The 22,947-nt window shown below is 37.3% G+C and overlaps 4 annotated features.

Moving 5' to 3' along the window:
* Nucleotides 6,640-7,375: an enhancer, noted in NCBI's record as "NANOG-H3K27ac-H3K4me1 hESC enhancer chr6:70225484-70226219 (GRCh37/hg19 assembly coordinates)". NCBI's record gives its function as "activates a minimal SCP1, AML or CMV promoter by ChIP-STARR-seq in naive and primed H9 embryonic stem cells {active_cell/tissue: H9 hESC(naive and primed)}" and the evidence as "EXISTENCE:reporter gene assay evidence [ECO:0000049][PMID:30033119]".
* Nucleotides 6,640-8,112: a biological region, named in NCBI's record as "Sharpr-MPRA regulatory region 1352".
* Nucleotides 7,156-7,450: an enhancer, noted in NCBI's record as "tiled region #1352; HepG2 Activating non-DNase unmatched - State 24:Quies, and K562 Activating non-DNase unmatched - State 24:Quies". NCBI's record gives its function as "activates a minimal TATA promoter and a strong SV40 promoter by Sharpr-MPRA in HepG2 and K562 cells {active_cell/tissue: HepG2 | K562}" and the evidence as "EXISTENCE:reporter gene assay evidence [ECO:0000049][PMID:27701403]".
* Nucleotides 7,376-8,112: an enhancer, noted in NCBI's record as "NANOG-H3K27ac-H3K4me1 hESC enhancer chr6:70224747-70225483 (GRCh37/hg19 assembly coordinates)". NCBI's record gives its function as "activates a minimal SCP1, AML or CMV promoter by ChIP-STARR-seq in naive and primed H9 embryonic stem cells {active_cell/tissue: H9 hESC(naive and primed)}" and the evidence as "EXISTENCE:reporter gene assay evidence [ECO:0000049][PMID:30033119]".

Genomic DNA, 22,947 nt, shown 5'->3' with positions numbered 1-22,947 from the left:
TCTCTTTTGGGTATATACCCAGTAGTAGGATGGCTGGGCTGAATGGTAGTTTTAAGTTCTTTGAGAAATCTCTAAACTGCTTTCTACAGTGGCTGAACTAATTTACATTCTCACCAACAGTGTATAAGTGTACACTTTTCTCCACAACTTCACCAGCATCTGTTGCTTTTTGACTTTTAATAATTGCTATTCTGACTGATGTGAGGTGGTATCTTGTGGTTTTGATCTGCATTTCTCTAATGATTAGTAATGATGAGCATTTTTTCATATATTTGTTTGCTGCATGTATGTCTTCTTTTTAGAAGTGTCTGTTCATGTCCTTTGCCCATTTTTTAATGGGGTTGTTGGTTTTTTGTTTGTTGAATTAAGTTTCTTATAGGTTCCAGATATTAGACATTTGTTGGTTACATAGTTTGTGGACATTTTCACCCACTCTGTAGGTTGTCTGTTTAATGTGCCGATAGTTTATTTTTCTGTGCAGAAACTAGTTGGATTAGGTTTCGCTTGTCAATTATTGTTTTGTTGCAACCACTTTTGGAGACTTAGTCATAAATTATTTGCCAAGGATGATGTCTATGATGGTATTTCTTACATTTTCTTCTAGGGTTTTTTGTTGTTTTAGGTCTTTAAGCTAATTTTTGTATATGATAAAAGGAAAGGGAACTGTTCCAATCTGCATATGCTAGCCTGTTGATATAACATTTCAATAAATTCACTGTTTACTGACTAGTGAATTATTTCTCTCATTGTTTGTTATTATCAATTTTGTTGAAGATCAGGTAGTTGTAGGTAAGTGGCTTAATTTCTGGGTTCCTAATTCTGTTCCATTGCTCTATGTGTCTGTTGTCATACCTGTAGCCTGTTTTGGTTACTGTTGTCTTGTAGTATACTTTGAAGTTCAGTAGTGAGATATCTCTGGCTTTGTACTTTTTGCTTAGGATTGTTTGGGTGATTTGGGCTCCTTTTTGGTTCCATATGAATTTTAGAATAGTTTTTTTCTACTTCTGTGAAAAGTGACATTGGTAGTTTGATAGGAATAGCATTGAATCTATAAATTGGTTTGAACAGAGTGGCCATTTTAACAATATTGACTCTTCCTATCCATGAACATGGGATGTTTTTCCGTTTGTTTGTATTGTCTCTGATTTCTTTCAGCAATGTTTTGTAATTCTTGTTGTAGAGATTTTTCACCTCCTTGGTAAAATGTATTCCTAGGCATTTTATTCTTGATTTGGCTCTTGACTTGGTTGTTATTGGTGTATAGAAATGCTACTGATTTTTTTTTTTGCCTTATTCTTAGAGTAAATTTTTATTAAAAACCTATTTTCATATTCAAATCAATTGATGAATATTCTTTTTAGTTAGAAAAGATGCTTGTATGTAAGTATTTTTTCTTAGGGAGTATGCATGTCTGGCTTTATTCCCTGAATTGATTTAGAAGGCTTTGCCTGTTTTGGAAGGTCTACTGCCTTGAATCTGGGTAAATCTGAGATGTTCTCAGACCATCTGTAATCACATTGGTGGAACAGGTTATGTTTTTTAAAAGTAGCACTCCGGTGATTCTTGCTCACAGCGCTTCATAGCTAAGACTACAGATTTTCTTCTCTTGACTTCTCGGACATGCTAGGAAAGCCAACTTGCTTTAGTGGGTTCAGAAACCCTGATTCTGTGACATTGGGGAAAATATTGACTATATTTGAGGCTCAATTCTTATTCTGTAAAGTAAGATGTTGAGTGAGATGTTCTTTGAGTTCCCTTTAAATTATATAAACATTGTAAAGAGCTGATTAAGCTGACTTTTTTTTTTAAATTATACTTTAAGTTTTAGGGTACATGTGCACATTGTGCAGGTTAGTTACATATGTATACATGTGCCATGCTGGTGCGCTGCACCCACTAACTCGTCATCTAGCATTAGGTATATCTCCCAATGCTATCCCTCCCCACTCCCCCCACCCCACCACAGTCCCCAGAGTGTGATATTCCCCTTCCTGTGTCCATGTGATCTCATTGTTCAATTCCCACCTATGAGTGAGAACATGCGGTGTTTGGTTTTTTGTCCTTGCCATAGTTTGCTGAGAATGATGGTTTCCAGCTTCATCCATGTCCCTACAAAGGACATGAACTCATCATTTTTTATGGCTGCCTAGTATTCCATGGTGTATATGTGCCACATTTTCTTAATCCAGTCTATCATTGTTGGACATTTGGGTTGGTTCCAAGTCTTTGCTATTGTGAATAATGCCGCAATAAACATACGTGTGCATGTGTCTTTATAGCAGCATGATTTAGAGTCATTTGGGTATATACCCAGTAATGGGATGGCTGGGTCAAATGGTATTTCTAGTTCTAGATCCCTGAGGAATCGCCACACTGACTTCCACAATGGTTGAACTAGTTTACAGTCCCACCAACAGTGTAAAAGTGTTCCTATTTCTCCACATCCTCTCCAGCACCTGTTGTTTCCTGACTTTTTAATGATTGCCATTCTAACTGGTGTGAGATGATATCTCATAGTGGTTTTGATTTGCATTTCTCTGATGGCCAGTGATGATGAGCATTTTTTCATGTGTTTTTTGGCTGCATAAATGTCTTCTTTTGAGAAGTGTCTGTTCATGTCCTTCGCCCACTTTTTGATGGGGTTGTTTGTTTTTTTCTTGTAAATTTATTTGAGTTCATTGTAGATTCTGGATATTAGCCCTTTGTCAGATGAGTAGGTTGCGAAAATTTTCTCCCATGTTGTAGGTTGCCTGTTCACTCTGATGGTAGTTTCTTTTGCTGTGCAGAAGCTCCTGAGTTTAATTAGATCCCATTTGTCAATTTTGGCTTTTGTTGCCATTGCTTTTGGTGTTTTGGACATGAAGTCCTTGCCAACGCCTATGTCCTGAATGGTAATGCCTAGGTTTTCTGCTAGGGTTTTTATGGTTTTAGGTCTAACGTTTAAATCTTTAATCCATCTTGAATTGATTTTTGTATAAGGTGTAAGGAAGGGATCCAGTTTCAGCTTTCTACATATGGCTAGCCAGTTTTCCCAGCACCATTTATTAAATAGGGAATCCTTTCCCCATTGCTTGTTTTTCTCAGGTTTGTCAAAGATCAGATAGTTGTAGGTATGCGGCGTTATTTCTGAGGGCTCTGTTCTGTTCCATTGATCTATATCTCTGTTTTGGTACCAGTACCATGCTGTTTTGGTTACTGTAGCCTTGTAGTATAGTTTGAAGTCAGGTAGCGTGATGCCTCCAGCTTTGTTCTTTTGGCTTAGGATTGACTTGGCGATGCGGGCTCTTTTTTGGTTCCATATGAACTTTAAAGTAGTTTTTTCCAATTCTGTGAAGAAAGTCATTGGTACCTTGATGGGGATGGCATTGAATCTGTAAATTACCTTGGGCAGTATGGCCATTTTCACGATATTGATTCTTCCTACCCATGAGCCTGGAATGTTCTTCCATTTATTTGTGTCCTCTTTTATTTCCTTGAGCAGTGTTTTGTAGTTCTCCTTGAAGAGGTCCTTCACATCCCTTGTAAGTTGGATTCCTAGGTATTTTATTCTCTTTGAAGCAATTGTGAATGGGAGTTCACTCATGATTTGGCTCTCTGTTTGTCTGTTGTTGGTGTATAAGAATGCTTGTGATTTTTGTACATTGATTTTGTATCCTGAGACTTTGCTGAAGTTGCTTATCAGCTTAAGGAGATTTTGGGCTGAGATGATGGGGTTTTCTAGATAAACAATCATGTCGTCTGCAAACAGGGACAATTTGACTTCCTCTTTTCCTAATCGAATACCCTTTATTTCCTTCTCCTGCCTGATTGCCCTGGCCAGAACTTCCAACACTATGTTGAATAGGAGCGGTGAGAGAGGGCATCCCTGTCTTGTGCCAGTTTTCAAAGGGAATGCTTCCAGTTTTTGCCCATTCAGGATGATATTGGCTGTGGGTTTGTCATAGATAGCTCTTATTATTTTGAAATACGTCCCATCAATACCTAATTTATTGAGAGTTTTTAGCATGAAGGGTTGTTGAATTTTGTCAAAGGCTTTTTCTGCATCTATTGAGATAATCATGTGGTTTTTGTCTTTGGCTCTGTTTATATGCTGGATTACATTTATTGATTTGCGTATATTGAACCAGCCTTGCATCCCAGGGATGAAGCCCACTTGATCATGGTGGATAAGCTTTTTGATGTGCTGCTGGATTCATTTTGCCAGTATTTTATTGAGGATTTTTGCATCAATGTTCATCAAGGATATTGGTTTAAAATGCTCTTTTTTGGTTGTGTCTCTGCCCGGCTTTGGTATCAGAATGATGCTGGCCTCATAAAATGAGTTAGGGAGGATTCCCTCTTTTTCTATTGATTGGAATAGTTTCAGAAGGAATGGTACCAATTCCTCCTTGTACCTCTGGTAGAATTCGGCTGTGAATCCATCTGGTCCTGGACTCTTTTTGGTTGGTAAGCTATTGATTATTGCCACAATTTCAGCTCCTGTTATTGCTCTATTCAGAGATTCAACTTCTTCCTGGTTTAGTCTTGGGAGAGTGTATGTGTCGAGGAATGTATCCATTTCTTCTAGATTTTCTAGTTTATTTGCGTAGAGGTGTTTGTAGTATTCTCTGATGGTAGTTTGTATTTCTGTGGGATCGGTGGTGATATCCACTTTATCATTTTTTATTTTGTCTATTTGATTCTTCTCTCTTTTTTTCTTTATTAGTCTTGCTAGCGGTCTATCAATTTTGTTGATCCTTTCAAAAAACCAGCTCCTGGATTCATTGATTTTTTGAAGGGTTTTATGTGTCTCTATTTCCTTCAGTTCTGCTCTGATTTTAGTTATTTCTTGCCTTCTGCTAGCTTTTGAATGTGTTTGCACTTGCTTTTCTAGTTCTTTTAATTGTGATGTTAGGGTATCAATTTTGGATCTTTCCTGCTTTCTCTGGTAGGCATTTAGTGCTATAAATTTCCCTCTACACACTGCTTTGAATGCGTCCCAGAGATTCTGGTATGTTGTGTCTTTGTTCTCATTGGTTTCAAAGAACATCTTTATTTCTGCCTTCATTTTGTTATTTACCCAGTAGTCATTCAGGAGCAGGTTGTTCAGTTTCCATGTAGTTGAGCGGCTTTGAGTGAGATTCTTAATCCTGAGTTCTAGTTTGATTGCACTGTGGTCTGAGAGATAGTTTGTTATAATTTCTGTTCTTTTACATTTGCTGAGGAGAGCTTTACTTCCAACTATGTGGTCAATTTTGGAATAGGTGTGGTGCGGTGCTGAAAAAAATGTATATTCTGTTGATTTGGGGTGGAGAGTTCTGTAGATGTCTATTAGGTCCGCTTGGTGCAGAGCTGAGTTCAATTCCTGGGTATCGTTGTTGACTTTCTGTCTCGTTGATCTGTCTAATGTTGACAGTGGGGTGTTAAAGTCTCCCATTATTAATGTGTGGGAGTCTAAGTCTCTTTGTAGGTCACTCAGGACTTGCTTTATGAATCTGGGTGCTCCTGTATTGGGTGCACAAATATTTAGGGTAGTTAGCTCCTCTTGTTGAATTGATCCCTTTACCATTATGTAATGGCCTTCTTTGTCTCTTTTGATCCTTGTTGGTTTAAAGTCTGTTTTATCAGAGACTAGGATTGCAACCCCTGCCTTTTTTTGTTTTCCATTGGCTTGGCAGATCTTCCTCCATCCTTTTATTTTGAGCCTATGTGTGACTCTGCACATGAGATGGGTTTCCTGAATGCAGCACACTGATGGGTCTTGACTCTTTATCCAACTTGCCAGTCTGTGTCTTTTAATTGGAGAATTTAGTCCATTTATATTTAAAGTTAATATTGTTATGTGTGAATTTGATCCTGTCATTATGATGTTAGCTGGTGATTTTGCTCGTTAGTTGATACAGTTTCTTCCTAGTCTCGATGGTCTTTACATTTTGGCATGATTTTGCAGCGGCTGGTACTGGTTGTTCCTTTCCATGTTTAGCGCTTCCTTCAGGAGCTCTTTTAGGGCAGGCCTGGTGGTGACAAAATCTCTCAGCATTTGCTTGTCTATAAAGTATTTTATTTCTCCTTCACTTATGAAGCTTAGTTTGGCTGGATATGAAATTCTGGGTTGAAAATTCTTTTCTTTAAGAATGTTGAATATTGGCCCCCACTCTCTTCTGGCTTGTAGGGTTTCTGCTGAGAGATTCGCTGTTAGTCTGATGGGCTTCCCTTTGAGGGTAACCCCACCTTTCTCTCTGGCTGCCCTTAACATTTTTTCCTTCATTTCAACTTTGGTGAATCTGACAATTATGTGTCTTGGAGTTGCTCTTCTCGAGGAGTATCTTTGTGGCGTTCTCTGTATTTCCTGAATCTGAACGTTGGCCTTCCTTGCTAGATTGGGGAAGTTCTCCTGGATAATATCCTGCAGAGTCTTTTCCAACTTGGTTCCATTCTCCACATCACTTTCAGGTACACCTATCAGACGTAGATTTGGTCTTTTCACATAGTCCCATATTTCTTGGAGGCTTTGCTCATTTCTTTTTATTCTTTTTTCTCTAAACTTCCCTTCTCGCTTCATTTCATTCATTTCATCTTCCATTGCTGATGCCCTTTCTTCCAGTTGATCGCATCGGCTCCTGAGGCTTCTGCATTCTTCACATAGTTCTCGAGCCTTGGTTTTCAGCTCCATCAGCTCCTTTAAGCACTTCTCTGTATTGGTTATTCTAGTTATACATTCTTCTAAATTTTTTTCAAAGTTTTCAACTTCTTTGCCTTTGGTTTGAATGTCCTCCCGTAGCTCAGAGTAATTTGATCGTCTGAAGCCTTCTTCTCTCAGCTCGTCAAAGTCATTCTCCATCCAGCTTTGTTCCGTTGCTGGTGAGGAACTGCGTTCCTTTGGAGGAGGAGAGGCGCTCTGCGTTTTAGAGTTTCCAGTTTTTCTGTTCTGTTTTTTCCCCATCTTTGTGGTTTTATCTACGTTTGGTCTTTGATGATGGTGATGTACAGTTGGGTTTTCGGTGTGGATGTCCTTTCTGTTTGTTAGTTTTCCTTCTAACAGACAGGACCCTCAGCTGCAGGTCTGTTGGAATACCCTGCCGTGTGAGGTGTCAGTGTGCCCCTGCTGGGGGGTGCCTCCCAGTTAGGCTGCTCGGGGGTCAGGGGTCAGGGACCCACTTGAGGAGGCAGTCTGCCAGTTCTCAGATCTCCAGCTGCGTGCTGGGAGAACCACTGCTCTCTTCCAAGCTGTCAGACAGGGACACTTAAGTCTGCCGAGGTTACTGGTGTCTTTTTGTTTTTCTGTGCCCTGCCCCCAGAGGTGGAGCCTACAGAGGCAGGCAGGCCTCCTTGAGCTGTGGTGGGCTCCACCCAGTTGGAACTTCTGGGCTGCTTTGTTTACCTAAGCAAGCCTGGGCAATGGCGGGCGCCCCTCCCCCAGCCTCGCTGCCGCCTTGCAGTTTGATCTCAGACTGCTGTGCTAGCAATCAGCGAGATTCCATGGGCGTAGGACCCTCTGAGCCAGGTGTGGGATATAGTCTCGTGGTGCGCCGTTTTTTAAGCCGGTCTGAAAAGCACAATATTCGGGTGGGAGTGACCCGATTTTCCAGGTGCGTCCATTACCCCTTTCTTTGACTCGGAAAGGGAACTCCCTGACCCCTTGCACTTCTCAGGTGAGGCAATGCCTCGCCCTGCTTTGGCTCGCCCACAGTGTGCGCACCCACTGGCCTGCGCCCACTGTCTGGCACTCCCTAGTGAGATGAACCCGGTACCTCAGATGGAAATGCAGAAATCACCCGTCTTCTGCGTCGCTCACGCTGGGAGCTGTAGACCGGAGCTGTTCCTATTTGGCCATCTTCGCTACTGATTTTTGTACATTGATTTTGTATCCTGAAACTTTACAAGGTTCAGGTTTATAGATTTTTGTCATTTATCAGATCTAGATGTCTTCCGGTGGAGTCTATGGGGTTTTTCTAGGCGTAGAAATCATACTGTCTGCAAACAGAGATAGTTTGACAGCCTCCCTTCCTATTTAGATAGTTTTTATTTCTTTCTCTCACTTGAGTGCTCTAGCAGGGAATTCCAGTACTATGTTGAACAGGAGTAATGAGAATGGACATACTTGTCTTATTCCAGTTCTCAAGGGAAATGCTTCCAGCTTTTGCCTGTTCAGTGCAGTGTTGGCTGTGGCTTTGTTATATATGGCTCTAACTATTTTGAGGTATGTTCCTTCAATGCCTGATTTGTTGAGAGTTTTTACCATGAAGGGACATTGAATTTTACCAAAAGCCATTTCTACATGTCTTGAGATAATTATGTGGTTTTTTAAATTTTAATTCTGTTTGTGTGGTGAATCACATTTATTGATTTGTATATGTTGAACCAAAAGCCTACTTGGTCATGGTGAATTAACGTTTTTTTTTGTGCTGCTGGATTCAGTTTGCTATTGTTTTGTTTAGAAATTTTGCATCTATATTTATCTGGAATAGTGACCAACAGTTTTGTTTTTTTCCACTGTGTCTCTGACAGGTTTTGGTATCAGAATGTTGCTATTTTCATAGAATGAGCTGAGGAGTCCCACCTCCTTGACTTTTTTTGGAATAATTTCAGTAAGATTGGTACTAGCTCTTTTTTTTTTTTTTTTTTTACACCTGGTAGAATTTGTCTGTGAACCCATCTGGTCCAGGACTTTTTTTTTTTTTTGGTAGGCCTTTTGTAACTGATTAATTTTATAGCTCATTATTGGTCTGTTCAGGATTTCATTTTCTTCCTGGTTCAATCTTGGGAGGCTGTGTGTTTCCAGGCATTTACCCTTTTCTTCTAGGTTTTATAGTTTGTATTTCATATTAGTCTCTAAGGTTGTTGTTATTTTTTGTTTTTTTGTTTTTTTTTTGTATTTCTGTGGGGTTGATTGCATTGACCCCTTTGTCATTTCTGATTGTGTTTATTTGGATCTTCTCTCTTTTTTCTTTACTAATCTAGCTAGCAGTCTATATACCTAGTTTAATCTTTCAAAAAACAACTTTTGGTTTTGCGGATTTTTTTGTATGCATTTTTGTATCTCAGTTTCATTTGGTTCAGCTCTAATTTTGATTATTTCTTTTTGTCTACTATCTTTGTGGTTGGTTTGCTCTTGTTTTTCTAGTTCCTCTAGGCATAACATTAGGTTGTTAATTTAGGATTTTTCTAACTTCTTGAGGTAGATATTTAGTGCTATAAACTTTCCTCTTAATACTGCTTTTGCTGTGTCTCAAGGATTCTGGTATGTTATGTCTCCGTTTTCATTAGGTTCAAATAATTTTTTTGATTTGTGCCTTAATTTTATTCTTTACCCAAAAGTCATTCAGGACCAAGTTGTTTAACTTCCATGTAATTGTATGGTTTTGACAGATCTTCTTGGTATTGATTTCTATTTTATTGTTCTGTGGTCAAAGAGTGTGATTGGTATGATTTTAATATTTTTGAATTTGTTGAGACTTGCTTTATGGCTGAGCATGTGGTTAATCTTAGAGTGCGTGCATGTGCAGATAAGAATGCATATTCTGTTGTGTTTGGATGGAGTGTTCTGTAGATGTCTTTCAAGTCTGATTCATCAATTGTACAGTTTAAGTCCTAGATATTTTTGGTTAGTTTTCTGCCTCAATAATCTGTCTAATGCTGTCAGTGGGATGTTGAAGTCCCCCATTGTTATTTTGTGATTGTCTAATGTCCTTGTAGATCTGTAAGAATTTGTTTTATGAATCTGGGTGCTCCAACATTGGGGGTATGTGTGTGTATTTCAGCCATTTCAATCTGGTTAAGAACCATTGCTGAGGAGCTAGTGTGATCACTTGAAGGTAAGAGGACACTTTGATTTTTAGAGTTGTCAGAGTTCTTGGACTAGTTCTATCTCATTTTTGAGGGCTGATGTTCCTTTATTCTTTGAAGTTACTGTCCTTTGGATAGGACTTTTTGTTTTTACGTTCTTTATTGCCCTCGAGTGTTTGACTGTGGTACAAGTTGGGTGTAGTTGAATACTTTTGTTTCTGGATTGTGTATACATATATAAATAGAGAGATATATGTATATATATTATATACATATAATATATATAGTGTATATTATATACATATAATATATATAGTGTATATTATATACATATTATATATAGTGTATATTATATACATATTTTATATATATATATATATAGAGAGAGAGAGAAAGAGAGAGAGAGAGAGAGAGAGAGACCCCAATAGACCCCCGGTGTGTGTATGTGTGTGCATATATATATATATATATATACACACACACATTTCCTGCATTTGCATGTGTATTAGTCCATTTTCATGCAGAAAGAGGTTTGATTGGACTTACAGATCCACATGGCTGGGGGGGGCCTCATAACCATGATTAAAGGCGAGGAGGAGCAAGTCATATCTTATGTGAAATGGCAGCACGCAAAGAGAGCTTGTGCAGAGAAACTCCCATTCTTTGAAACCATCAGATCTCATGAGACCCATTCACTATCACGAGAACAGCACGGCCCCCATGATTCAATCATCTCTCACTGGCTCCCTCCCACAACACAAGGAAATTATGGGAACTATAAGATGAGATTTGGGTGGGGACACAGAGCCAATCCATATCAGCAAGTTTTCTCTAGTGAAATTGAGAAAATTTTTGTGAACTGTATTCTCAGATATGTTTTCCAAGTTGTTTGTTCTCTCTCATTGTCTTTCAGGAATGCTGATGGGTCATAGATTTGGTCTTTTTACCTCTTTACACAGTCCCATTTTTCTCATAGGTTTTATTCGTTTTTTAAAATTGTACTTTTTTTTTCTGCTTGTGTTGCTTCAAAGGAGTGGACTTCAGCTTCTGAGATTCTTTCATCAGCTTGGTCTATTATGCTGTTAATTCTTCCAATTATATTTAAAAATTTCTGGAGTAAATTTTTCATTTCCAGAACTCAGTTTTGTTCTTTCTTCAAAAGGTTATGTCATCTTTCAACTTTTGGGTCATTTTACTGTTTTCCTCAGATTGGGTTTTAACTTTCTCTTATATCTTGATGAACTACCTGGCCATCCAGATTCTGCATTATATGTCTGAATTTTCAGACATTTCAATCTGGTTAAGAACAATTGCTGGGGAGCTAGTGTGATCATTTGAAGGTAAGAAGACACTTTGGATTTTAGAGTTGTCAGAGTTCTTGCACTGGTTCTTTCTCATTTGTGTGGGTTGATGTTCCTTTATCCTTTGAAGTTACTGTTCTTTGGATAGGGCTTTTTGTTTTTATGTTCTTTATTCCCCTTAAATATTTGACTGTGGTACAAGTTGGGTATAGTTGAATACTTTTGTTTCTGGATGCTTTCAGAGGGCCAAGGCTTAGCTCTGCACTCCTAGGCTGTATGCTCTAACCCTGGGTGGCTGGGACCAGGCCCATGGCTTTGTGTTCTTGTCTCTCGAGGTTTAGCCCCAGCTGGGATGGAGGGGCCAAGGTCCTGCCAGACCACTGGCAACAGTGGTCTATCAGGGGTGGCAGAGGCACTGTGTGAAAAAATTGCTCTGGCAGGGGCAACAGGGGCCTTGCAGATGACAAGCACGGTGGTAGGGAGGTTGCAGAGTCGCAGGCAAACACACTCTGGTGGGAGTGGGTGGAAGTCTCTGGAGAAAGTGCTATGGTGGTAGCCACTGGCAAAAGCACTCTGGTGGAGTAGCTGAGGCTATGCTGCCTTTAATATTACTTATATAAATACATATATTTAAAATTAAAGCTGCATGTTTTATTTGTAATTTCAGTTTGTGCTTGTGTTTCATAACATTTAGAAAGATATAAAAGACAAGCTATTTAAGACAATAAAACATGAAGTAGTAATTACATGAGGTTTAGAGATAAAATTTTTTGAGGTAGATATTGCCTTTGAAATGGAAAAAATGAGGAAGGCATAATTTTAGGGAAACCAGTCTTTTAAAATGATGGGTTTACATTTTGGGACATGAGGTCCAAAACCAATGCTCACATCATGAATTTGTAGGATAAGGAATTTGTTTCAATTCTTAAATTCTCACAGGGAAGCAGCAATAGTTAAGACTAAACTTCATGACAGATTTTAGCTAATTGGTAGTAGCTGTGTGCATTTAAAAATACCTTGGGACTCAGTTGTTTCTGTTGTTGATTTGGTAATGATAAAATTCTTGTCACAGAGAGCAATGCTCTACAGAAATGCCAAGGTGATAGCCATATTCTCTTTTCAAATGGGTGGAATTCTTAGGTTTCTATTATGTCTTCATTGAAGGTCACAGAGCATCTCTCCCTTATGTGCAATGTAACATAGTCTAACATTAAAAATGAGTAGTCTTCTTTTAATTTTAATTTACCTAACATTTTATTCCAATATCTTTTTTGGAAGTCATTTTAAATGTGATTCAAAAAATAATGACCAAACCAAAAATAGAGATCATTACACAAAGGCTAGTACATGTTTAAGGAGGTCAAAAGCTCTTTAAAAACATTAATTAAAAATTGTTGCTCTCTAGATAAGTAAATAAATATTATTTTTCTTCTGGAGGAGTAATCTTGACCAAGTAGAGGGTTGTGCTGGTTGGAACCTTAGCTCAAAGTCAAATGGTGAGTCATTACCTAGGATGCACAGAAAACTCAAGGTTCTTTTTCCTGTTCTCTTGCTAGGCTACTACACAACTAAGTCTCTAAGTGCTAATTAAGTAAACGAATCAAAAAATTCAAATAAAAAACAAGCAAAGAAACACAAAGATGAATGAACTCTAGAACTATGATGTTAAACTTTATAAAGCATTTACTTTATCATAAGTAAGGATATTCACCAAGTTTAACCATAATTTTCTTATTACCCCTAGCTTTGATTTACTTGAGCGTAGTTCAATGATGATGGTTGTTGCTAAGTAACTTTTAGGCATTCTTAGTTTATAACACGACACATATAAAATATCTTTAGCTTTGGGGGAAAATGCTCTAGAAATATGAAGTTCATTTATGATGATGAAGCGGGTAATACAGCTACCAATGTAAATGTATGGCTCATTAAGAGCATGTGCACGGTTATGTTCACAGTAAAGTAAAAGCCATTCTTAATAATGAAGTTTACCAATTTGCATAAACTTGAAAAATATGGTTTCTTAGAACATTTTAAAATGCAGATCATCACATTTCAGAAGAAAATGGTGATTTTTTTCAGGTTTTATGATATACAGTCAATAATCATTCAGCAATATTGCAACTCAGGGATATATATAAGAAGTCTGTTTAAAAATTATAGGGTTTGCAACATAGAAAAAGGAAAATATTAATAAAACATTTTTGGTTGGCAATGGAAGATTTCATGAGACTGATAACTGATGATCACCCTCTAAAGTTGATGAGCCAGATGAGTTGATTATTAATGCATTAAATATTAAATCAATAGGTTTTCATGTAGGGGCTTCATTCGGGGTTTGTTTTCCTAAATATGTGTTACTACTGCTCCAACCAATTTTAAAACAAACCCTAAAATTCAAAGAGTAAATCCAAGAAAAGCGTCTGTGTTAGAGTACAATTTAACAGATTTCCCTTGGTAATCAATTTCATGGAATATTGCTGGGCTGGCATATTTGTTCTTCTAGTACTCCTGAGAATATTGGAAAGACAGGAAAGCTACACTTAGTGAATGGTTATAATAATAAGTTTAATTAAGATAAAACAACATTAATTAAATGGTTTGGCTATGACGTTGGCAACAACTCTTCCTTTATCCTGCCAAAATCGTAATCTCATGAGGGTGTCTGTCAGCTAGCTTAGAATAGCTGAATGTGGGGAGTTTTCCTTTCAGGCTTCCTTGAGGAAGGTGTGCTTTCCTCTTGTTCAGGCAATTTTTCTATGTATTTAAGACAATCATTCCTAAACCTCTTGAGACTGGTAAAGTCCCACAGTTACCATCTCAACTTCATACCTATGTTGCTTATCTAAGACCTAGACTCATGTGACACTAAACATTTCACGATTTTTGCCACAGGATGGAGAGCTTCTTACTTTTGACCTGAAGTCTTCTGAAGACTTTTTATTGTATATGTCTAAAGTGTACCACATGATGTTTTGATATACACATAGTGAAATGGTCATTATAGATAGTTAAGCAAATTAACATATCCATCATCTCATATAGTTACCCTTTTATTGTGTGTGGCAAGAGTACCTAAAATCTACTCCTTTACCACTCTGAACATGACTTATCTCATCTGAAGTCCTTATTTTTATCCTCCCTCTCCCAGGGCTACATCCTGAATGTCTCTCACCCTAAACCTTTAGTAACTGGCTGAAAATGTTATTTAAAAGTGTGAGGGGGCATTTCCCCCTAACTAAACACCAGCCTCCTTTCCCTAAGGCACTTTCCATGGTGTTGGAAAATTAGGCTTCATGATTACTATTCACCCAAGTGCATTTTCTGTTTGAAGTGCTAAGAGGCCTTCAAATGTTCAAATATATCAGCTATGGGATATATGGGAGTGAAAAATGTCAGCCCCAATATTTTATTAAGGTTCTGATGGTTGGTGCACATAAACCTGTTCAAACTGTAATCTATGAACGGTTTGCAGAAGTGTAACTATCTTTACCTGTAGTATGAGCCAGAATTCACAAATGTAGATTCTAGATTTCTAAAGACACATGGAATTAAGTCCACATGCATTCTCATTTCAGGAATGCCTTCTATGAGACTGCTCAGAGATGGATCTTGTATTAGTCAGCCTTGCTGAAGTAACAAATAATCCCCAAACATATATTTCCTGTTTATTTTAATATTGATAGCTGTGGCCCTGCTCCACATATCTTATTCTAGGACCCAGGTGAAGAAGTAGCATAGATTTAGGACTTGTTGGTTTTGTGGCAGGGGGAAAAAGCAAGAGAGATATGTGAAAGTCATGATGCCTCTTAAACCTTAATTGTAGTATGAATCCTTGCTACTCAAAGTTGTCCCGATAGCTAGCAGCTTCAACATTATTTGGTAGCTTGTTAGATATACTGCAATGCATCTCAGGCCCCAATCTAGACCTACTGAATATGAATTTCATTTTAGCAGGATCTTCAGGTAATTTGTAAACACATTAAAGTTTCAGAAAAACTGGCATGTAAACAGGCCCTGACAATCATTGATCAAAGCACTTCACATGGACAAACCCCATATGGGTCAAGGAAGTACACACCCACAGAGAGATACTGCAAGTCACATGGCCCTTGGTAGGGATAAATAATCTTCTTTCAGGAAAGGAGCAAAACACTAGAAACTAAAATACAATCTACAGCCCCTAAAGCTTCTGCTTATGCCAAATGGAACTAGTTATTTATTGAGGCAACTCATTTTGATTATTGAACATATTTGTTAATTTAGTTTTACTTATTGATTCTACTTTGGTTTTCTGCAGTGAAGAAAACATCTACTTCCTAGTCTATGTAATGTTTATTCAATAATTTGAATGCAATCCCTGTGTCCTTCTTCATTTATCCAAGTATTATCCAAGTTAAACAGACTTTCTTTCTTCAGCATTATCAGTTTGTCTAGCGCATTATCCTGATATCCTTGCGTGGTAACCACCTACTCAGGTTGGAGATACTAGAATTGAATCTGATATTTTATTATCTGCCAAGCATAAAGAAGAATAGGGACATTTAATCTTTCTTGATCAGGATATAGTGTTTGTAATCTAAGTTTACCTTGGTGTGATGGTTAATATTAAGCGTCAACTTGACTGGATTGAGGGATACCTAGATGGCTAGTATTGTTTCTGGGTGTGTCTGTGAGGATGTTGCCAGAGGAGACTGACATTTGAGTCAGTGGACTGGGAGAGGAAGATTCACCCTCAGTGTGGCTGGGCACAATCTAATCAGCTGCCAGAGCTGCTAGAACAAAGCAGGCAGAAGAACTGGGGTAAGCAGCTTGCTAAAGCTTCTTGTTGTCTCTCTACCCATGCTGTGCCAAACACTTGGCTTCTTCTCCTGTCCTTGGTCATCGGACTCTAGGATCTTTGGCCTTTGACTCTGGGACTTGCACCAAAGGCCTCCTGGGGATTCTCAGGCTGTCGGCCCCTAACTGAAGGCTGCAGTGCTGGCTTTCCCAGTTTTGAGGCTTTTGGACTTGGACTGAGCCACACTACCAGCATTTCTCTTTCCCTAGCATGCAGACAGCCTATTGTGGGACTTTGCTTTGTAATCATGTGAGCCAATCCTCCCTAATAGACTCATATATATTGGTTCTGTCCCTCTGGAGAACCCTAACTAATACACTTTTTCTTTCGGTAGAGATGGGGATCTCACTGTATTGCCCAGGCTGGCCTTTAACTACTGCCCTCAAGTGATCCTCCTGCCTGGGTCTCCCAAAGCTCTGGGATTACATGCACAGCCACTGTACCGGGCCCTTGCCTTGGGTTTATAGCAGTTGTGTCATACTGTTAGCTCCTAGTATGATTGTGCTACCATCTTAGGACTTTTGAGCTGCTCTCAAACCTTCATTTTCCAGTCTGTATCCAACAAACTGATTAATTTAAATGAATATTAGGGCTTTACATTGATTCTTATAAATTAATCTTGTGATGTTGATTCATTCTTTTGGAAATTGAAGATTTCTAAGTTCTCAATTTCACTAGGTCATAAATTAAATATCCTACCCAGTGTCAGTTAATGCATGGACATATTAAAAGCCTGCATTTGGGGCAGAAGCATACCATGTATATGAAGATCTGAAACTCAGTAGATTTCTTGGTACTCTTTTTTTAAAAAAAGAATTTCAAAATACTTTATTTTTCCAAATCTCACAAAATCATTGTTAAGGCTCTGCTAAATGTTTTGAAAGTGACCCTTGGGTGTGAGGGGCCCTGAAAGTTAAGCATTATTAGTTTTATGATAATTCTTCCACTGAACATGGGATACAGTAAATGAGAAATTGAGGAGTTAAGTGTAACATAGGAGGATGACAATGCATTTATTAAAATGATAGCTCTTGAAATGGCAGCACAGGAGGAAGAATATGGGTACAGAGGATTGAAAATGAGTTAGCCATCAGTTGAAATTAGGAACCTGAGTGAAATGAGCAGTTGAAGTAGGATTAAAACCCTGTCCTCTCATATCTTTCAGATTGTGAACTAAAATGACAAACTCAGCAGGACCATTTGAAAATTCAGTCTGCAGGTACTAATTAATAAAACCAGTAGGAATATGTAATATACATGCACACACATAAAACCAATAGGAATATAACACACACACACACACACACACTTCCCTCACCTCTTTGATTCATTTAGAGTTCTCTTATTTATATCAACAAGCTTCCTGTCAAGCATATATTAGTTCTACTTCATACAAGACAATTTGTCTCTTGCCAAAAGTCCATTATTCCAATGCCTAAATTTTTATTAAAAAACACACATATTCTGTTTCCATTGCTTTCATTCCATTTATAATGAATTTTTTAGTAGATTAGCCAAGGATTTGCAGAAAAATAGAATCAATAGGATATGTGCCTATCTATCTATCTATCTGTCTATCTATCTATCTATCTATCTATCTATCTATCTATCTATCTATTTATCTGTCTGTCTCTATCGTTAACTCTATCTCTATTTATCTCTACCTTATCTATCTATCCAGAGAAACTTATTTTAGGGAATTGGCTAATGTGATACTGGAGGCTGACAAGTCCAAAATCTTCAGGTGTAGGGTGGCAGTCTGGAGATTCAGGGAAAAGTGGAAGCTGCATTTCAAGTCTGAAGGCTGACTGGGGGCACAATTCCTTCTTGGTTAGAAAAGGACACTCTTGTCTATTAAGGCCTTTAACTAATTGAATAATGCTCACTACATTATGGAGGGCAACTTACTTTACTCAAAATACAATTTAAATGTTAATCTTGTCTAAAAAAACACCCTCATCCAGAATACTGTTTGACCAAATATCTGAGCACTGTGGCCCAAAAAGTTGACATATACAATTAACCAGCATATTTACAATGGAAGAAGACTTGAAAAACATTTGTGTCCCCAAGTCATGTCTGCTACTCAGAACTTTGAAGCCTTGAGGGCCGTGTTCCACATTCTTTCCCAGATTTTCTCAGACTCCCTTTATGGAAAAGAACCCAAAGTTTTTCAGAGTTTCACAAGACTCTGAAATTTCCGTAATGTAGGGAGAGGTCATCTGGGGGAATCTTTTTTTTCTAGGGTTCATACCATGATACATATAAAGCCAAGTAATTAGTGGAAGACACTGAGACTACTCTGGTGTAACATTTCTGGTGATCTTTTGTCAATATTATGTTGAGAGGTCAAGGCATGTGTGTGAAAGTTCACCAAAGTGGGTGGAAAGCCTAAAATGCTTTCTTCTAATAATTTCATAGGTTCAAGTCTCAGATGTAAGTCTTTAACCATCTTGGTTTGATTTTTTTATATAATGAAAGATAAGGGTCTAGTTTCATTTTATGCATATGGCTATGCAGTTTTCTCATCACCATTTATTGAGGAGACTGTCTTTTTTCTCGTCTGTGTTCTTGGGACTTTGTCAAAAACGAGTTGGCTATAAATATGTAGATTTATTACTGGGTACTCTGTTTCTGTTCCATTTGTCTGTGTGTCTGTTTTTATGCCAGCACCATGTTGATTTCATTACTATAGCCTTATAATATATTTTGAAGTAAGGTAGTGTGATTCCTTCAGCTTTGTTGTGTTCCATATTATTTTGGCTATTTGGTGTCTTTGGCAGTTCCATAAAAGTTTTAATTTTTTTTCCTATTTCTATGAAGAATGTCATTGATATTTTCCTAGAGATTACATTGAATCTGTAAATTGCTTTGGGTTGTATTGTCATTTTAACAATATTAATTCTTCCAATTCACAAGCATGAAATATCTTTCCATTTTTCATGTGCTCTTCTTAATTTCTTTCATTAGTGTTTTTATAGATTTTCATGTATAGATCATTCTCTTCTTTGGTTAAATTGATTCCTAGGTACTTTATATTTTTTGTACCTATTATGAGGTTACTTTCTTGATTTTATTTCTTTTTGAGACAGAATTTTGCTCTGTCGCCCAAGTTAGAGTGCAATGGCATGATCTTAGCTCACAGCAACCTCCATCTCCCAGGTTCAAACGATTGTCCTGCCTCAGCCTCCCTAGTAGCTGAGATTACAAGCATGAACCACCATACCTGGTTATTTTTTTTTGTATTTTCAGTAGAGAATGTGGTTTCACCGTGTTGCCCAGGCTGGTCTCAATCTCAAATGATCTGCCTGTCTTGACCTCTCAAAGTGCTGGGATTACAGGCATGAGCCACTGTGTCTGGCAATCTTGATTTCTTTTTAAATTGTTTGCTGTTGACATACATAAATATTATTGATTTTTGTAAGTTGATTTTGTATCCTGAAACTTTACTGAATTTGTTTATCAGTTTTAATGATTTGTTTTTGGTGGAGTCTTTAGGTTTTTCTAAGTATGGAATTATTTTGTCTACAAAAAAGGCTAATTTGATTTTTCTTTTCCAACTTGGATGCCCTTTATTTTTTTTTCTTACCTAATTGCTCTGACCAAAACTTCCAGTATTATGTTGAATAAAAGTAGCAAAAGCGGGCATCCTTGTCTTGTTCCAGGTCTTAAAGGAAAGGCTTTCAATTTCTCTCCATTCAGTATGGTATTTGCTGTGGGTTTGTTATATGTGGCCTTTAATAGGTTGTGGTATGTTCCTTCTATGTATCATTTGTTGAAGATTTTTATCAAATAGGGATGAAAAATGCGTTGAATGCTTTTTCAGCATCTGCTGAAATGATTATATGGCTTATGTTCTTGGTTATGTTAATGTGATGTATCATGTTTATTGATTTGCATATGTTGAAACATCCTTGCATTCCTGGAATGAATCCCACCTGATCATGGGGAATGATCTTTTTAATATGTTGTTGGATTAAGTTGCTAGTATTTTGTTGGGGAGTTTTGCATCTATGTTCATCAGAAATATTGGCCTGAGGTTTTTGTTGTAGTTATTGTATCCTTGTCTTTTGATATCAGGGTAAGGCTGGCCTCATAGAATGAATTTGGAAGTATTTCCTCCTCTTCAATTGTTTCAAAGAGTTTGAGTAGAATTGGTAATATTTCTTCTTTAAATGTTTGGTAGAATTCAATGGTGAACCAATTTGGTCCTGAACTTTTATTTGATGAGAGACTTTTTACAACAGCTTCAATATTATTACTCATTAGTTTGTTGAGGTTTTCTATTTTTTCATGGTTTAATTTTGGAAAATTGTATGTGTTTAGGAATCTATTTCCTCTAAGTGTTCCAATTTTTTGTCATATAGTTGTTCATAATGGTATCTAATGAATCTTTGTATTGTTGTGGTCTCAGTTGTTACATCTTCTTTTTCATTTCTGATTGTATTTATTTGGGTCTCCTCTCTTTCTTTTTTAGTTAATCTAATTAAGGTTTATTGATTTTGCTTATCCTTTCAAAAAAAACCAACATTTGGTTTGGTATATCTTTTATATGGTTTTTTAGTCTTTGTTTCATTTATTTCTGCTCTGATCTTTATTATTTCTTTCCTTCTACTAACTTTGGTTTGGTTAGTCCTTGCTATTCTCATCCCTTGAGCAAATGGTTAGATAATTTATCTGAAGTCTTCCTATTTTTTTAATATACGCATTTATTGTTATAAACTTCCCTCTTAGTACAGTTTTTGCTGTATCCCATAGGTTTTTGTATGTTATATTTCTACTTTGATTTGTTTCAAGAAATTTTTAAACTTCCTTCCTAATTTCTTCATTGATCCATTACTCATTCAGGAGCAAGCTGTTTAATTGTCATTTGTTTATGTACTTTTTGAGGTTCCTCTTGTTATTGGTTTCTAGTTTTATGCCAGAGCGGTCAGAAAATTTACTTGATAGGATTTCTACTTTTTTGATTTTGTTATTTATTTTGCCATCTAACATATGGTCTATTCTAAAAAATGCTCCATGTGCTGATGAAAATAATGTGTACTTTGTAGCTACTGGGTGGAATGTTCTATAATTGTCAGCCCCATTAGAGCTAATGTGTAGTTTAATGTATTGCAGTCTATCTCTCTCTTTATATCTATTACTGTTTGCTTTATATATTTGGACCTCCAGTGTTGGGTGCATGAATATTTATAATTTATATCCTCTTGCTGAATTGACTCCTTTATCATTATATTGTGACCTTCTTTGTCTCTTTTTCAATTTTTGATGTGTAGTCTATTTTATCTGATATGAGTATAGCTACTTCTACTGTTACTCTTTTTTGGTTTCTAGTTGTATAGAATGTCTTTTTCCACCCCTTCACTTTCAGTCTATGTGTGCATTTATGGGTGAAGTAGGTTTCTTGTAGGTAGAATATATCTGAGTCTTGTTTATTGATTAAGCTACTATATGCCTTTGAATTAGTAGAGAATTGAGTCAATTTATATTCAGTTTTGTTATTGATAAGTAAGGACTTACTACTGCCATTTTGTTGCTTGTTTTCTTGTAACTCTTTTCTTCCTGTTTTACTGTCTTCTTTGGTGATTAGACGATTTTCTCGGGTAATATGTTTTAATTCTTTTTTTTTTTTCCTTTTTTTCTTCTTCTGTTTTTTTTTGGATTTATTTTGGAATTTTTTTTTTTTTTACTATACTTTAAGTTTTAGGGTACATGTGCACATTGTGCAGGTTAGTTACATATGTATACATGTGCCATGCTTGTGTGCTGCACCCACTAACTTGTCATCTAGCATTAGGTATATCTCCCAATGCTATCCCTCCCCGCTCCCCCGACCCCACAACAGTCCCCAGAGTGTGATATTCCCCTTCCTGTGTCCATGTGATCTCATTGTTCAATTCCCACCTATGAGTGAGAATATGTGGTGTTTGGTTTTTTGTTCTTGCGATAGTTTACTGAGAATGATGATTTCCAATTTCATCCATGTCCCTACAAAGGACATGAACTCATCATTTTTTATGGCTGCATAGTATTCCATGGTGTATATGTGCCACATTTTCTTAATCCAGTCTATCATTGTTGGACATTTGGGTTGGTTCCAAGTCTTTGCTATTGTGAATAATGCCACAATAAACATATGTGTGCATATGTCTTTATAGCAGCATGATTTATAGTCCTTTGGGTATATACCCAGTAATGGGATGGCTGGGTCAAATGGTATTTCTAGTTCTAGATCTCTGAGGAATCGCCACACCGACTTCCACAATGCTTGAACTAGTTTACAGTCCCACCAACAGTGTAAGTGTTCCTATTTCTCCACATCCTCTCCAGCACCTGTTGTTTCCTGACTTTTTAATGATTGCCATTCTAACTGGTGTAAGATGGTATCTCATTGTGCTTTTGATTTGCATTTCTCTGATGGCCAGTTATGTGATGAGCATTTTTTCATGTGTTTTTTGGCTGCATAAATATCTTCTTTTGAGAAGTGTCTGTTCATGTCCTTCACCCACTTTTTGATGGGGTTGTTTGTTTTTTTCTTGTAAATTTGTTTGAGTTCATTGTAGATTCTGGATATTAGCCCTTTGTCAGATGAGTAGGTTGCGAAAATTTTCTCCCATTTTGTAGGTTGCCTGTTCACTCTGATGGTAGTTCCTGTTGCTGTGCAGAAGCTCTTTAGTTTAATTAGATCCCATTTGTCAATTTTGTCTTTTGTTGCCATTGCTTTTGGTGTTTTAGACATGAAGTCCTTGCCCATGCCTATGTCCTGAATGGTAATGCCTAGGTTTTCTTCTAGGGTTTTTATGGTTTTAGGTCTAACATGTAAGTCTTTAATCCATCTTGAATTGATTTTTGTGTAAGGTCTAAGGAAGGGATCCAGTTTCAGCTTTCTACATATGGCTAGCCAGTTTTCCCAGCACCATTTATTAAATAGGGAATCCTTTCCCCATTGCTTGTTTTTCTCAGGTTTGTCAAAGATCAGATAGTTGTAGATATGCGGCATTATTTCTGAGGGCTCTGTTCTGTTCCATTGATCTATATCTC

Source organism: Homo sapiens, chromosome 6 (genome assembly GCF_000001405.40).
Source record: "Homo sapiens chromosome 6, GRCh38.p14 Primary Assembly".
Taxonomy (NCBI): domain Eukaryota; kingdom Metazoa; phylum Chordata; class Mammalia; order Primates; family Hominidae; genus Homo; species Homo sapiens.
This window is presented reverse-complemented; position numbering and strand designations above follow the sequence as displayed.